Source organism: Homo sapiens, chromosome 4 (genome assembly GCF_000001405.40).
Source record: "Homo sapiens chromosome 4, GRCh38.p14 Primary Assembly".
Classification (NCBI taxonomy): domain Eukaryota; kingdom Metazoa; phylum Chordata; class Mammalia; order Primates; family Hominidae; genus Homo; species Homo sapiens.
Genome location: NC_000004.12, coordinates 154824297 through 154841051, shown reverse-complemented (window position 1 = coordinate 154841051; position 16755 = coordinate 154824297). Strand labels below are relative to the sequence as shown.

Here is a 16755-nt window from a genome sequence, read left to right as displayed (position 1 = left end):
AGGTGGGTGGATTACAAGGTCAATAGTTCAAGACCAGCCTGACCAACATGGTGAAACTCCCCATCACTACTATGAGGCATGGTGGTAGATGCCTGTAATCCCAGCTACTCTGAAGGCTGAGACAGGAGAACCACTTGAACCCAGAAGGCGGAGGTTGCAGTGAGCCAAAATCAAGCCTCTGCACTCCAGCCTGGGCAAAAGAGCTAGACTCTGTCTCAAAAACAACAGCAGCAGCAACAACAACAACAACAAACAATATTAAGCCTTTCAATCCACAAGCATGGGATGTTTTTCCATTTGTACTTTCTTTGATTTATTTTAGTAATGTTTTGTAGTTTTCAGTGCACAAGTCTTTCACCTCCTTGATTGTTTATTCCTAAGCATTGTATTCTATTTGATGCTTTAGCAGATGAAATTATTTTCTTAATTTCTTTTTCATATTGGTCATTGTTACTTTATGAAAACCTACAGATTTTGTGTTGATTTTGTATTCCAAAACTTTACTATAGTTGTTTATTGTCACAGTTTTTTTTGTGTGTGTGGAATCTTTAGTGTTTTTGACATATAAAATCATGTCATCTGCCAAAAGAGTTAATTATACTTTGTCTTTCTAACTTGGATGCCTTTTAAATTTTTTCTTGCTTAATTGTTCAGACCAGAACTTCCAGTACCATGTTAAACAGTTGCTGTGAGAGTGGACATCCTTGCTTTGTTCCTGAACTTAGAGAAAAAGCTTTCAGATTTTCATTGTTGAGTGTGATGTTAGTTGTGGACTTTTCATATATGGTTTTTATTATGTTGCGGTAGTTTCCTACTTCGTTGATTGTTTTCTTTTTTCATGAAAAGATGATGAATTTTGTCAAATAAGCCATCCTTGCATTCCAGATATAATTCCTTCTTGGTCATATGTGGGAGTTCAGTCAGGCTGGTGGGAAAAATTTTAAGATGAAGTTATAGGATATAGACATAAAGCTTCTTGGAAGGCTGGAAGGTTTTACAAAAGTCTCAGGATAGGGTTATGGCTGAAAGCAGCCTAATCCTTACCTTGAGTTAATAGCCTGGGCTGCAGATACAAACAAATGTAGAGTAGTTCATCTGAATAGCTTGTTTACTCATGTGGTCCTAAAATCAACCTTTGATCATTCACAGGCAGAATGGCACTCTCCAGGGTGGGGGTGACCAGGTTAATTACCACAGGTGTGTTCACTCAAAGCCTTTGTCAATTAAATCTGTACTAAATAAATGTAAGCTTTGCCGACTTGGAGGGGCTGCAAACTCTCTTCAGCCCCTAGTGCTGGCAGCCCCCTGGCCCACTCTTTCACTGAATATCAGTGTCTGAGTACGTGTCTCATCTGTTGTGCAGCTGGGGTGTGCAGGACAGACCCCCACAAGTGGGAGCTCAGGGGGGATTGTTCAGGCTTGGGTTTCATCTGGGACAATAATTATCAGTTCAACAGAAGCAGTATACAAAAGTATTGAAACATCTGCTTAAAGCTAGTGGAGCCTCGATTTCGCAGGCTCAATTAAGGGACCTAATGCAAACTGTTGAATCCCATAACCCGTGGTTCCCCAAAGAAAGCACACTAGACATAGAGCTCTGGGAACAAGTGGGGAGAAATCTTAAACAACATCATGTGCAAGGGCAACGGGTCCCAGTATCTTCTTTAATGCTATGGGCTTTAGTTAGGGTGGCCCTGACTCCGTTATACACCAAAGAGCCTAAAATGGGGAAGGAGGAGGAACTGTCACCTGCCTTACCACCTCCTTTTCCCTCAGCCCCCCATCACTGGACCAAAATAACAAAGAGGAAACAGAGGTCTTGCCTGAACCCCCTCCTCCAATGAATTGGGAAAAAGGCAAGGGATATGCTACAGCTATAAGACACTGTCTTAAGCAAGCAGCATTGGAAGTGGAGCTCTTAGCCTGCCTGGTAATGCTAGATTGACAAGGCAATCAGGTATATAAACTCATTTATTTTAACACTTATAAAAAGATAAGAAAAGTCATTAGAGGCTGGAGCTGCATGGCCGAGCAAGCGGTAGGTAGAAGGAAAGGCTCAGCAGTGGGTAAGCTCACAAACCCAAAGCCGGCAATTGCTCCCAAGAGCTCAGCCTGCACAGTGGCGGTGGCCACCGGAAGCCAGGCCCAGAGTGCAGGAGCTGGCCTGCTAGGGAGGGGTAGAAGGCATGCGTGGGAATGTCTGCCAGCCAGTAGCAGCCTACTGGTGGCAGGGGTAGGGAGCAACACAGAAAAAAAAACAGCATAAACAAAAAGCAGCGACTAGGTGGGCACAACACAGCCACCACCCTGGGACCCGCCTGCTTAGCTCTCCAGTTCCACAGGCAGCCCAGGGCAAAATTTCATGTGTTCCTTGTATACAAGTGACATCCCAGATTATAATTCTCTGCTAAGATCTAAGTAAAATTTAAGAATTTAAAAGACCTAATAATGGCCACTATTGTTATTTGTCTTCTACCCTTAACATAACTCTCTCCAAATCCAATTTAAATAAAATAATAACCTCTAAAGGGACAGAAATTACAAAGGGCCCATAAATTTGTTAAGGAGCAATTAAAAGCTACCCATATAGAATGATGCAATCAGTTGCTAGGTTATGATCCTGATATCATCAGGATTCCTTTAAGTAAAAAGCAATTCGAAGCATTATTGCCCTTATCGATGGATCTGCAAATAGCACTCTCTGATTACGCAGGACAAATAGAGCATGTACTTCCTGCTGATAAACTCCTTCATTTCTTATCTCATAGTCCTGTGATCTTGCTACAAAAATAGTTCACTCCCCCATACCTAATGCTTTAACACTGTTTACTGATGGTTCTGGTAAACATGGAAAGGCAGCAGTCTGGTGGAGACCACATAATTCACTCACTTGATCTAGGTTTACTAGCACTCAAAAAGCTGAAATTTGGGCCTTAATATTGGCTTTGGAAACTGTTTCTGCTCAGCCCCTCAATATTGTTAGTGATTCTGCCTACTTTTTATTTCAGAACCTTGAGATAGCCCTAATTAAGTCCACTCTGGAGCCCACCTTGTGTGCTCTTTTTCTCTGACTTCAGCAATTGCTAGATCAATGTACACATCCTATTTTTATTATACCCCTTCAAGCCCACAGCTCACTGCCTGGCCCATTGGCTTATGGCAATGATCAAGCAGACCTTCAGGTTATGACATCACTGCTTGACCAAGCCACCCAATCACATCAATTTTCCCACCAAAATTGAAGAAACTTATCTAAACAATTTCAACTTACCCAGAGACTGGCTAAACTAATTATCCTACAATGCCTGGATTGCCAGCTCACAGGCATGTACCCTCCTTCAACAGGTGTTAACCCTAGAGGATTAGAACCTGATCAGTATGGCAAATAGATGTTACACACATCCCTGAATTTGTAAAACTAAGATATGTACATGTATCCGTTGATACAAACACTCATCTAATTAGTACCCATGCCTTACCTGGAGAGTCCACTCAATATGTCATTAAACATCTTCTTTTAACTTTTGCACTTATGGGACAGCCCACAAAAATTAAAACTGATAATTGTCCAGCTTATGCCAGTTCACAATTCCAACAATTTTGTCACACTTGGAACATCCAATATTCCATCAGCATCCCGTATAACCCCCAAGGACAGGCCATAGGAGAACGTACCCATTCAACCCTTAAAAATATGCTCAAAAAATAAAAAAGGGGGAGTGTGAGTAAAGACCCTGCAACACTATTGGCGCAAGTCTTATTTACCCTTAATTTTCTAAATTTAGATGATAAATTTCAATCAGCTGTAGAAAAGCACTTTGCTGAAACCTCTCAAGACATAAAACCTGCAGTTTTATTGAAAGATGTAAACAGCAATGTACGGTGTGGTCCAAATGAACTGTTAACTTGGGGAAGAGGGTATGCTTGTGTCTACACCCCCTCAGGTCCTCTTTGGATTCCAGCATGACGCATCAAACCACACCATGGCATGGCTAGGAACCAAGCCGGTACCAGAAATGAAGGAACTGACCCTACAGGACCTGCATCCCCGGAGGATGCGGCTTCCTCAAACAACACAGGCCCCAGACATTATACTGAAGAAGACAAGTCAGAAGACTGAGCAAATCCTGCTCCGGGAACAGGCACCATTCACTCCAGATAATGTATTCCTTTTTTATTCTCTCCCTGTGCCTGCTACCTATACCTGCTACACTCAATTAAGCTCATCTTCTAAACCTGCCATTTTTCAGCCCTGTTATCTGGGCAGACACTTCCTTCCCAGCTTCTAACAATGAGACTGCTTGGCTGGAAGGGGTTAACTTATCCCCAGTGAGGTTCCTTAGTAACAGCACACATCAAACTGAAGCGCCAAGCAATGCTGCAGGTCGTTCCTTGATTGGAAAAGAATGTTGCTAATTTTACTCATGACTGTCTTATGTTATTTGCTAATTCTAGGATGCAATGCCAGAATAAGAGCAATGACTGCCTCGCCCCACAGACCTGTTGTTGCACATATCTGCATGCTTCAATCAACAGAACCTGATGCAAAAAAAAAACAGGGAAGAGGGAGATGTGGGAGTTCGGTCAAGCTGGTGGGAAAAATTTTAAGATGAAGTTATAGGATATAGACACAAACCTTCTTGGAAGGCTGGAAGGTTTTGCAAAAGTCTCAGGATAGGGTTATGGCTGAAAGCAGCCTAATCCTTACCTAGAGTTAATAGCTTGGGGTGCAGATACAAAGGAATGTAGAGTAGTTCATCTAAATAGCTTGTTTACTCATGTGGTCCTAAAATCAACCTTTGATCATTCACAGGCAGAATGGCCCTCTCCTGGGTGGGGGCGACCAGGTTAATTACCCACAGGTGTGTTCACTCAAAGCCTTTGTCAATTAAATCTGTAGTAAATAAATGGTTGCCAGCTTGGAGGGGCTGCAAACTCTCTTTGGCTGCCAGTGCTGGCAGCCCCCTGGCCCACTCTTTCACTGAACATTGGTGTCTGAGTACGTATCTCATCCGTTATGCAGCTGGGGTCTGCAGGACAGATCCCTGCAGTCATGGTGTATGATCCTTTTAATGTGCTGTTGAATTTACTTTGCTAGTATTTTGTTTACAAATTTTGCATCAGTATCCATCAAGGATATTGTACTGTAGTTTTCTTGGTGTCTTTTGATGGTTTTGGTACAAGGGTAACGTTGGCCTCATAAAATTAGTTTGGATTCCCTCCTCTTTAATTCTTCCAGATAATCTGAGGATTGATGTTAATTATTTTTCTTTACAACTTCTTCTTCTTTTTTTTTTTTTTTTGAGACGCAGTCTTGCTGTGTCACCCAGGCTGGAGTGCAGTGGTGCGATCTTGGCTCACTGCAAGTTCTGCCTCCCGGGTTCATGCCATTCTCCTGCCTCAGCCTCCCAAGTAGCTGGGACTACAGTTGCCCACCACCACGCCCAGCCAATTTTTTGTATTTTTAGAAGAGACAAGGTTTCACCATGTTAATCAGGATGGTCTCGATCTCCTGATCTCCTGATCCGCCCACCTTGGCCTCCGAAAGTGCTGGGATTATAGGCGTGAGCCACCATGCCCGGCCTGTTTACAACTTTTTTAAGGCAGAGTATCACTCTGTCACCCAGGTTGGAGTACAGTGGCATGATCACAACTCACTGTAGCCTCAACCTATCAAGCTCAAGCTATCCTCCCACCTCAGCCTCCCAAGTAGCTAGGATCACAGGGACAGGTGCCACCACACCTGGCTAATTTTTAAATTATTTTTTTGTAGAGATGGAGGTCTCACCATATAGCTCAGGCTGCTCTCAAATTGCTTTGCTCAAGTGATCCTCCCACCTCAGACTCTCAAAGTTCTTGGATTGTAGACATGAGCCACCATGCCCAGCCCTAATTTTTCTTTAAATGTTTAATAGAATCCTTCAGTAAAGCCATCTGGTCCTGGGCTTTTCTTTTTGAGAGGTTTTTGATTACTGTCTCATTCTCCTTACTAGTTATAGGTCTGTTCAGATTTTTAATTTATTCATGACTCACTCTTGGTAGGTTTTGTTTCTATAAATTATCCATTTCTTCTAGTTTGGCCAGTTTGTTAGTGTGTAATTGTTTATAGCAGTTAGTCTTTTGTAATTATTTTTATTTATGTGACATCTGTTGTAGTTTTCCCTCGTTTATTTCTAATTTTAGATAATTGAGTCCCCTTTTTTTCTTAGTCTAGTTACCGGTTTGTCAATTTTCTTGATCTTTCCAAAAACTAAGTCTTGGTTTAACTGATTTGTTTTTTCTTTTCTATCCTCTATTTATTTCTACTTTAGTCTTTATTTTCTTCCTTTTGCTAGCCTTACGTTTTATTTATTTTTCTTGTTCTAGTTCCTGAGGTGTAAGGTTAAGTTGTTGATTTGAGATCCTTTTTTTACTATAAGCATTTACCACTATAAAGTTCCCTTTTAGTACTGATTTTGCTGCATCCCATAACTTTTGGTATGATTTGTTTCTGTTTGGCTCCAGATACTTTCTAAATCTTATGATTTCTTCTATGGCCCATTGGTTGCCTAAGGGTATATTGTTTAATATCCACATATTTGTGAATTTTCATGTTTTCCTTCTGCTATTGATTGCTAGTTTCCTTCTGTTGTGGTGTGAGAGGATACTTTGTATGATTTCAATATTCTTAAATCTGTTGACTTGTTTTATGGCCAAACATGTAGTCTATGTTGGAGAATGCTCCATCTGCATTTAAGAATGTGCATTCTACTGTTGTTGGGTAAAGTGTTCTGTATGTATCTTTTAGTTCCAATTGGTCTACAGTGTTCAAGTTTTCTGTTTCCTTGTTGCTTTTCTATCTGTTTTGTCTATAACTGAAAGTGGGGTATTGAAGTATCCTAAAACCATGTGTTGCTATCTATTTCTCTCTTCAGTTCTGTATTTTCCTCATATATTTGACAGCTTTAATGTCAGATGCATATGTGTTATTTTTATGATGAATTGACCCTTTTAGTCATATATATATGTTTTATATATAATATATATATTTTATATACATATATTATATATATGATTTTATATATATATATATAAAATCCATCTTTGCCTCTGACAGTTTTTTCTTAAAGTCTACATTTTCTAAGTATGGCCATCCCTACTCTTTTTGTATTCCTAATTACACGAAATATATGTTTCTACCATTTCACTTTTATCCTGTCATTTTCTTTTTGCTTCTTTGCTTTGGTAATCTCAAAAGTCCTGTCTTGAGAATTTGCTGATGCTTTCTTGTGATTGGTTAAGTCTGCTGTTGATTCCTTCTAGTGAATTTTTCAATTCAGCTATTGTATTTTTCAGCCCAAAAATTTGTTTGGTTCTTCTTCATAGTTTCTCTTTGTCAATATTTTCATTTTGTTTTTTATAGTTTTCCTGATTTCATTTAGTTGTCTATTTGTGCTTTTAATTCACTGAACATCCTTATAACGGTAATTTTTACTTCTTTGGTAATTAATATTTCTACATTTATTGAGGGTTGTTTTCTGGATATTTATTCATTTAAATGTGTCATGTTTCTTTGTATGTCTTGTTATTTTTTACTGGAATTTTGCCACTTGAAGAATCAGCCACCTCTCCCAAATTTTATGATCTAGTTTCATACAACGAGAACTTTCTTCACTCACTCCAGCTAGAAATTCTGAAGATATCTCAAGCCTTTTCTGAAGATGTGCCCTCTCTGGTCTCGTGTGTATAATCTCCTAATTGAAGAGATTTGCCAGTTTCTACCCTGATGTCTTTCTGCCATACTGTGGCAACCCTGGTGCTATAAAAAGCCTTAGTGCTGAAGCTCCATCTAATTTCTGTGGTACCGCAGACTTTGGTGTACTTTGTTTTTGGAGAGCACCCCCACCTACCCCGCCGCCCCACAACCCCTGCCCACAGGGTAGGCCATATTCCTTTCAGTGTTTGGATTCAAGCATGATAAATACTGGCCCCTCTGGTAAATCTGAAATTCAAAATGTTGGACCTACATTCTACCCTTTTCCCTCTCCAGGAAGAAAACAGGAGTTGTAAATTTCCTCCCAATTCAGCCTCACCATGCTGGGGGTAGGGGCTCTGGTGATAGTGCCACAAATCTTCTTATTGGGCTTCAATTTGGTCTACGTATTACTAAATCCACATTTCCGTAAGGGAAGAAAGGTCTAGGGATTCCTATTCTGCCATCTTGCTGATGTCACCCATGCTCTTTTGGTTCTCTTTGTCTTGCAGGATTCTGAATTTCCCCTTTGCTTTTTTCCCTTTCATCATCCACAAAAAAAGGGTACCTCCCAGTTCTTTTTAACTCTTTTCTCCCATAAGTAATGCCTTTCCAAAACTGCCATCTCAAGTCTACGTGATTTTAAGTCATTCTCCATTAGTCAGTACTTTTATATACCAGGGTATTCTTACAGTATTTTCATACCTGGGATGGACATTGTTAGCTCACCTTTAGGGCCTCTGCACTCTTGTTCTCTCTTGTGTAGTTTTCCAGCCCCTCAAAACACCCCTTCTTCTCCAAAGGCTTGTGGCAAGAGCTAAAAACATAATTGCTGGAACTTGATGTCCATATATATTTATTTTTATTAACAGGTAATTTGAAAAGTTGTAGTGTTCTGTGGTTATGCTGAAGGTGTGGATCATGTGTGGTTTCATTTGCTTTTTATTATTTTTCTATATAGTTTGTATAGGATGTGTAAAGAGATTTGTTTTTGGTGACTTCCATTATCCTTAGGATACTAGGTTCCAAAGATTTCTCCCTCAGCCAACTGATCTTGGGTGCGTTCCATGATATAACAGGCCAAGTGATGGTAGTATGGCAGGAAGAAGCTTCTAGACTGTCACCATATTCCACTTTGTAGCAGTGCTGTTGAACATGCTCAACTTTATGAATTTCGTGATCAAATAACACCCAATTCATGATGGGTATCCCATAGTCAGTACCTATTAGGGCTTAATAACTGGCTAAGAGTTATTTCTCAAAAGCAGACTAATTCTTTGCCTAAAAGAACACAGCTTTGCATCAAATCCTACAGGCCCTCTCTGTGATTTTCCTACCAGACTGAACGTGCTTCATATCTACAGACATCATAATTAGTGAAGGACATTTCAAGTATATTGGGACCCACTGAGTCAAAAGCAGTGAAGTTCACAGCTGTTTGCAGTGCTGTTTACCATCTGCAGAGCTTTTGCCCTGGGTTTCTACTCAAAATCCACCAACTTCTGGTCACTCAGTAAAGAGATCCAGTGCAGCTTTTCCTAATGTGTTTTTGTTCAGATTACTGTTCACTAGAGCTCTTCATTTTGTTTCTGAGAACAATTATGTGTCTTTTTACTTAAAATTATTTATCATTTATTAGTGTCTGCAAGTGAAAGAGATGTCACACTGTGATCCTATCCACTTCTCTCATAATTCTTTTTTTTTTTTGCATATCCTTCTGGAGTTCTGTATGCACCTATAAGCACATACAAATGTTGTTTTCCTCTTTACCAAAACATAGAACACTGTATTATACATACATTCCTAAATAAGCCTTGCTCTTTTTCACTTAACATCCTCTCTTCCTGTATCAAGAATAGTCATTCTCTTTTGTACAGCTTCATAGTATGTACTGATAAATGTATTCTTAACCAGTCCTCTAATGATGGATACCTTTACACATGTACCATTTCACATACACACATCCAAGTATATCCCAGAGTAGAATTGCTGGATCAAAATGTTTGTATGTAATTTTGGACAATAGCTGCCAAGTTGCTTCTTATATAAATACCAATTTTTAATCCCAATGACAATGTATGAGAATACTTATTTACAGGCTTGCCAAACGTTTATCAAACTATGAATTTCTGCCAATCTGAACTTTTAATCTGCCTTTCCTATAATGACATGAGCCACCTTTTTAATAGGTTTGGGAGCCATTTGTCATCTGCCTATTCAGACATTTCATCCATTTTTTTCATGGGTGGTTACTTTTTCTGATATCTAGAAATATTAGAGATTAGCCCTTTGTAAAACAACATGCAAGTATCGCTTTTTTTTTTTGAGACGGAGTCATTTATCGTCTTTTGACATACCTGTGTTACTTCCTTGCCATGCAGACTTTTTTAAAATTGAATTTAGCAACCTTTTCTATTATGGTTTCTACATTTTAAGTCATAAAGAAGTCTTTCCCTCTCTAACTATAAAACAAACTAGGGAAGAATGATAGGGTTAATTAAACTTTCTGCATACCTTCTGATCTTTCTGCTTACAAGGGATTTTAACCAGGACAGGTCCTAGCTCCATCATAATAGGTCATAAACTTCCACATGTCAGCCATGGTTCTTTGTGTAATGTTGCATACAAAATTTGAAGTCTGTCTTTAGAACGGTTTCCCTGACCAATGAGATACATCATATGGCTAAGACTTATCAATAGTTTGTGATCATCTAAGGAACCCTCATTTGGAGCAAATGCCTTATACAGCTTATTCTGCAAGAACTACAGCAGCAAATAATTAGTAGCTATGTTCACAACTCAAATAAAATTTTATTCAGTATAAACAAGATTAATTGCTCATCCAGAACATGACAGAAAGGGACAGTGTTTGACATGAATGTGCTAATTTCTATATTTCCAGTTAAAGAGAGTAGGGATGAAAAACTACAAAGTACTATGCTCTTCATATAACTATACCCATATAATACCACCCACCACCTGAATGTCTTCCATTTGCCAGGCGTTTTACCTATCTATACTATGACTACAGAAGTGAAAAGTACGGCTAGATTAATAACTGTGTCCAGGTTCAAACAGCTGTTACTTAATGGAGTGGGATTTGACTAACACAGCTTATATGCTTCTCATCCAATCACCATGGATCTCCAAATACAATGTGTGGTTGGTAAGCTCAATTGTCTTGATTTTTATTGAAAGTGAAAAAGCTATGTGGAAACTTGCAATTATTATGATGGGCTATTTCAAACATTTCTATGAAAAACTAAGTGTCTCTTTTTCTTCTGGCTTGGAGTCTCAGTAACCTCTGTATTCCAAAGGTATTACCACAATCACCAACAAAATACTCACTGTATGCTTGCTGAGTGATATGCACCTGTGAGCCCCACATATACCTGGCAATTAAAGAGCAAAATCTATGCAATTCAAAGTTGAGTAAGGAGAAAAATAGTATTTTTTAAGCACAGTGTCTATGCTCATTTAAATTAGAAAACCTAAGGCAGTAACTGGAAGGTAAGTATTGCATATGATTTATATGGAATGAACATTAAAGGTTGAAAAAACTGAGATTAATTTCCATATAACTTCTGCTTGAAACTCGAGAAAAAAATATTTGCAACTATTTCAAATTCTGTTTACAAATGCTGTCCCATATAGCTGCACAATGAGTTGATTAAAAAAGGTAATGTTTGCTATCTGAAAGATTTCTCAGACATCAATTATAAAAACTATTAGCAATCATTATAAATGTATACTAAAATATTTAAGTGAAAATGACTTGAATTCTTTAATTATTCATAACTGAAAGGCAGAAACTTCACTGGGTCTATTAACAAAGTATTTCTATTAGTCCCTGAAAATAACTTTTGTTACTATTTTACAAAACAATTTATATTTCTTCCAAAAAAAATGGGATACATGTGCAGAACATGCAGGTTACATAGATATACATATGTGATGGTTTGCTGCACCTATTGACCTGTCTGCTAAATTCCCTCCCCTCACCCCCAGCCCCAAAAAGGCCCTGGTGTGTGTTGTTTCCCTCTCTGTGACCATGTGTTCTCAATGTTCAGCTCCCACTTACGAACAAGAACATGTGGTGGTTTCCTGTTCCTGTGTTAGTCTGCTGAGGATGATGGCCTCCAGCCTCATCCATGTCCCTGCAAAGGACATGATCTCATTCCTTTTTATGGCTGCACAGTATTCCACGGTGTGTATGTACCACATTTTCTTTATCCAGTCTGTCATTAATGGACATTTGGATTGGTTTCATGTATTTGCTATTGTAAATAGTACTGCAATAAACATATGTGTGCATGTGTCTTTATAGAATGATTTATATTCTTTTGGGTATATAAAAACAACTTTCTTCAACATCCTTCACTTGAGTCTCATAAAAGCACTGAGCCTATGACTGTGTAAGTAGTAAGTGAAATTGTTCTCAAGAAAAGCTCAAAGTGATTGTGAGAACTAAAGGTTTTGTCATTCTAATATAAAGAAAACACATAATAGAAGCATCACATATTTAATGTCAAAAAATTTGAATTCAAGTACAAAAATTAACACATGATTTCAACATTAAAAACCCATAACACTTGTTATTAACAATACAAAGAATATCAAAAACACAAAGCATAACTATAAAATGCTTAAATACATTAACAACAAAATTATAATTTGTGTCTAACAAATAACAAAAATATCTATAGTTATTTTCAAGGACCACAATGGTAGACTGCTTTTTCTTTAGTACTGCACAAAATTTGTATCTTAATCTTTTTGTCTCATCATTTCTTTTTACATAATGGTTAGATGCTTCTGGTCATATAATTGTTCTAATCTCCAGTACAGATAGTGATCCTTGGTAATCAAATCTACTATAACCATTGTCTTCAAGTGCTTTAATATTTGTGAAATACTATTTAGTAAAATTATGCAAAAAAAAAAAAAAACATAAATGACTAGGTTCTATTGCCCACTCAGAAAGTAGAAGAAAATCCTAGAAGTTTAAAAAGAATAGTAGTTTGCTGTACCTTTATCAAGAGAAACCACTGAATAACTTTTTAAACTTTGCATTTTTATAAATTCTACAACTCCATGTTATTCTGAATTATAGCTGATGTTTAGTACTTTGGAATAAATACCTTTTTAAAACCAAATATGCAAACCCGATTCTAAAATAAAACAATATTTTAATTTGCAAGTTTTCATACTACAAATTTACACAAATTTTCATACTAATGTTAGTATTTTCTTCAGAAGAAGGAGGCCTGATTGGAGATACATAGCCGCTGTCCAACATGGCTGCCATTAGCAAGTGATATTGTTGGTGACAAAGGATAGCCTGGATAAGAATAAGGCCTTGAAGTATAAGGAAGCACGCTGGGAGTCCCAGAAGAGAGGGTAGCACTAACAGGGGAAAGACTATTTATTGAGCTGCGATGGAAATTGTAGTCTGTAAATAAATACATGAACAATTATGCTGTACATCTTTATGGACACAAATTTAATTTAAAGAGACAAAGCATTAAACAATAATCACATTTTAACATAATGTTCTAACACTGGAAATCTTGATGATACTATATTGCTGGTTAAAGATTATTTCAGCATTCACTGCACTGCAAATCCTGAGAGTTTTGTCAGTATTACCTTTCCTTTACTCACGCAATGTTTCAGAGATCTTACCAGAATGAATTCTTGGATATCTACTATTTCTTGGAGTTTTGATTATAGAAAAAGAGAACGTCTCATTTCTCTTGCTCTACAAAGAAGCTTCTTTTAAATTTGGTTCTAAGGGGTAGTCCATGAAGAAAAGATAAAAAACAGTGAATTCATATTTGCTTTTTTTTTTTCTTTGAAGCTGTATTAGGCATCAAACCAGCAGAAACATTCACCCCTGGACTGCAAAAACATTTGGTATAAACTAGCTGGCCAATATTTCATTATTTAAATACTAATATAAACACTTATCTAACTCAACATACTGATTTAACATTAAAAGTCCTACTGGTATGATAAAACAGTATAATGAATCACCTTTATTAAATAAACTTCAAAAAACCATTATCAACTTATAGTTACTTCAAAAAACCATTATCAACTTATAGTACAGAAAAATATCCAATTAAACCAAATTATTAAAAAATAACATTTGAAATACTGTTTCACAATAAACATTCATCTTATGCATCAATAATTTCCTGTTTCATTAACTGCAACATTTATATGTGTGTGTGTATATTACAGACCAAATTTTTAAATCCTGTACCTTCCAAAAACTCAACTATGTTCTTTAGTGTAAAATAAGCCAAGGGTGTGACAATGACTATAAAATCATTATTTAGAAACATTATGGTGTTTCTAGGAATGGAAGAAAAGAAATTAGGTCATCTAATGTACAGGTAAGGTTTTTTTCTATAATACTGTCCTGGTACTATAAATGATGCCTACACCATAGGTGCATTAACTTAATGTTGTCATGGGACTTAATGTTTAGCCAACAGGAATGAGATCAACTGCAGGAGAGTAAGCTCAAGCAACATCAGAAAGGACCTAGTTCAGGAAAAAAAAAAAAAAAAAAGGAAAAATGAAAATCAGTTAAATATAGGTTTAATTTCCAGCATTATAAAACTCTAATTAAACTAATTTTATAACCTTTTTATGAATGGTACCATAAGATCAACAAAGCGATCTGTTCCAGGAAGACATAAATACATTTAAAGTAACCAGTTCCAAATATTTTCACTATTTTGAAAATGAATGAGGAATTACTTTGATACCATTTACTTTTCTAACATCCAAAGTAGGATGACTCTACGTACCATACAATTTATTTATTTATTTATCTTTATTTATTTATTTGAGACAGAGTTTCACTCTTGTTGCCCAAGCTGGGGTGCAATGGTGCGGTCTCAGCTCACTGCAACCTCCACCTCCTGGGTTCAAGCAATTCTCTTGCCTCCACCTCCCAAGTAGCTGGGATTACAGGCACCCACCACCATACCCAGTTAATTTTTGTATTTTTAGTAGAGACGGGGTTTCACCATGTTGGCCGGGCTGGTCTTGAACTACTGACCTCAAGTGATCCACCCACCTCAGCCTCCCAAAGTGCCGGGATTACAGGTGTGAGCCAACGTGCCTCATGCTTTTTTTTTTTCTTTTTTTTTTTTTAAAAGGATCCACTTCACCTGAAGGGTTTGGTATTGAGTATAAACGGGACCATTACCGGCTCCATGTATTCCCAAGTAACTGCTTTATTTAAAAAAGTCTGATTCTTTCCTTCTGAAAATTATTATGCAAATACAGTCAATTTCTTATTAGCCATCTATCTGTAATACACCTAGCTCTTCAAATTTTAACAATGTGGTCATCAACAATACAATTTAGAAGAGCAGGCTACTGCAAACAGGGAAATGTAGTTTTCAAAGAGAAATCACTTTTGTTTTGAGTTTACATCCACTCAAGAGGTAATGCAGCCTATTTAAGAAATGTGGATACTGAAGGTATCTTCAGGTAATGCAGCCTATTCATGAATTGTGAACACAGAAGGTTATCTTCAGGGAAAGATTTCAGAAAGCAGATAGCCAAGCAGTTGGCTACTAGCATAATGCTTAGCTTATCTTCATTCCTGATGGTCCCCACTGTAAACCTTGAACTTAAGCCCTTAAATATACAATGATCATTTGTTGTACTGCATATTTTCAAGGAGACTAAATTAAATACAAAATTAAAAGTTGATGACTTTATTCATGTAGCATAAATCCAAAGGAAAAAAATCCTTCACAAATAACAAAGATTAGGAAACAAAAGGTTTCAGAAGTTTGTAAGATTTTACAAGCATTTCAAAAATAAAATTTTTTACTAAAATCACTAAGAATCTAAATATATTCAGGAAGACATCTAGCTGGTTGGAAAATACAATACAAACCAAACTTCAATGAATGAAATGTAAGCTGAAAATGCTTAGTGGGATGAACCTAAAAGTACAATCATGTTTTCCTCAGATCTATTGTAACATATAATTTTCGTATCATAGGAAATAAAAAGTAGAAATTCTAATTTTCAGAAAATATATTAATAAATTAGTTAACATTCCTAGCATATACTTATTTGCCCACCCCTAGTTTTTCTTCCCAATTAACATCCTTAGCTCTTCAATCCCACTGTTTCTTCCTCAGACTGGGATCTGTACTTCAGATCCCTTCTTAAGGAATGATACAGAGCCAATTTCAGAATATAAGTTTTACACTAAGTGTTATTCAACTGCCTTAACACTTGGAACACTGATATACAATTTATATAAAATAAAATGCATACATCCTATGTTTATTTCAATGAGTTTTGATAATTGTATAAATCTATGTAATTGATACTCAAAACAAGATATAAAACATATCCCCAATCCAGAAATTTCCTGTACCCTTTTCCAGCCAACAGACCTTCACTTGGAGGCAGCCACCTTCTGATTTCTATTTCAATAGATCAGTTTTGCCTGTTCTTAGACTTCATATAATATGCATTAAGTATTTTTATGTCTATCTTCTTTCTCTCAACATAATTTTAAGCACATTTGAATTAATTTTTACCAATAAAAAATTAGTTACAAAAAGAGGCGGCCTCTATACAAAATAAGGATGCTTTTTTTTTCCATTCACAAAGAGAATCCACTGACATATCTTGCCTTGCCAAGTCGAAACTCAAATAGCTTGTTTCGGTATAATTGTTCCAGAAAGATAATCCAGACAATCTCTCAATATAATTTCTAAGATTCGTTCACATTGTATCTTTCAGTAGTTTCTTCATTTTTATGGTTATTACTTCATTGTGTGAATATACTTCAATTTCATTATCTATTTGCCTAATGATGAATATCTGGGTTGTTTCTAAGTTTTATTATGAATAAAGCTGCTATGAACACTTTTATACAAATCTTTTGGTGGATATATGTTTTCATTTCTTTTGGGGCAATACCTGGGAATGGGATTGCTAGGTCATAGGACAGATGACCCATACTGCTTAAAGAG

The 16755-nt window shown here is 36.9% G+C and overlaps 1 protein-coding gene across 9 annotated transcripts in view; it reads right to left on the bottom strand.

The window, feature by feature from the left end:
- Positions 1-12238: 12238 nt before the first annotated feature.
- The window catches only part of RBM46 (RNA binding motif protein 46), a 47542-nt gene continuing 43025 nt past the window's right edge, over positions 12239-16755 (bottom strand). For 6 of the 9 annotated variants that reach the window (NM_144979.5, XM_011531695.4, XM_011531693.3 and 3 more), the window contains exon 5: positions 12239-13184. In NM_144979.5, the coding sequence (NP_659416.1) occupies positions 12985-13184 (200 nt within the window). In that variant the 3' untranslated portion in view covers positions 12239-12984. Of the gene's footprint in view, positions 14285-16755 lie in introns of all 9 variants that reach the window. The other 3 variants (NM_001277171.2, XM_006714120.2, NM_001277173.2) reach the window with 1 other exon arrangement.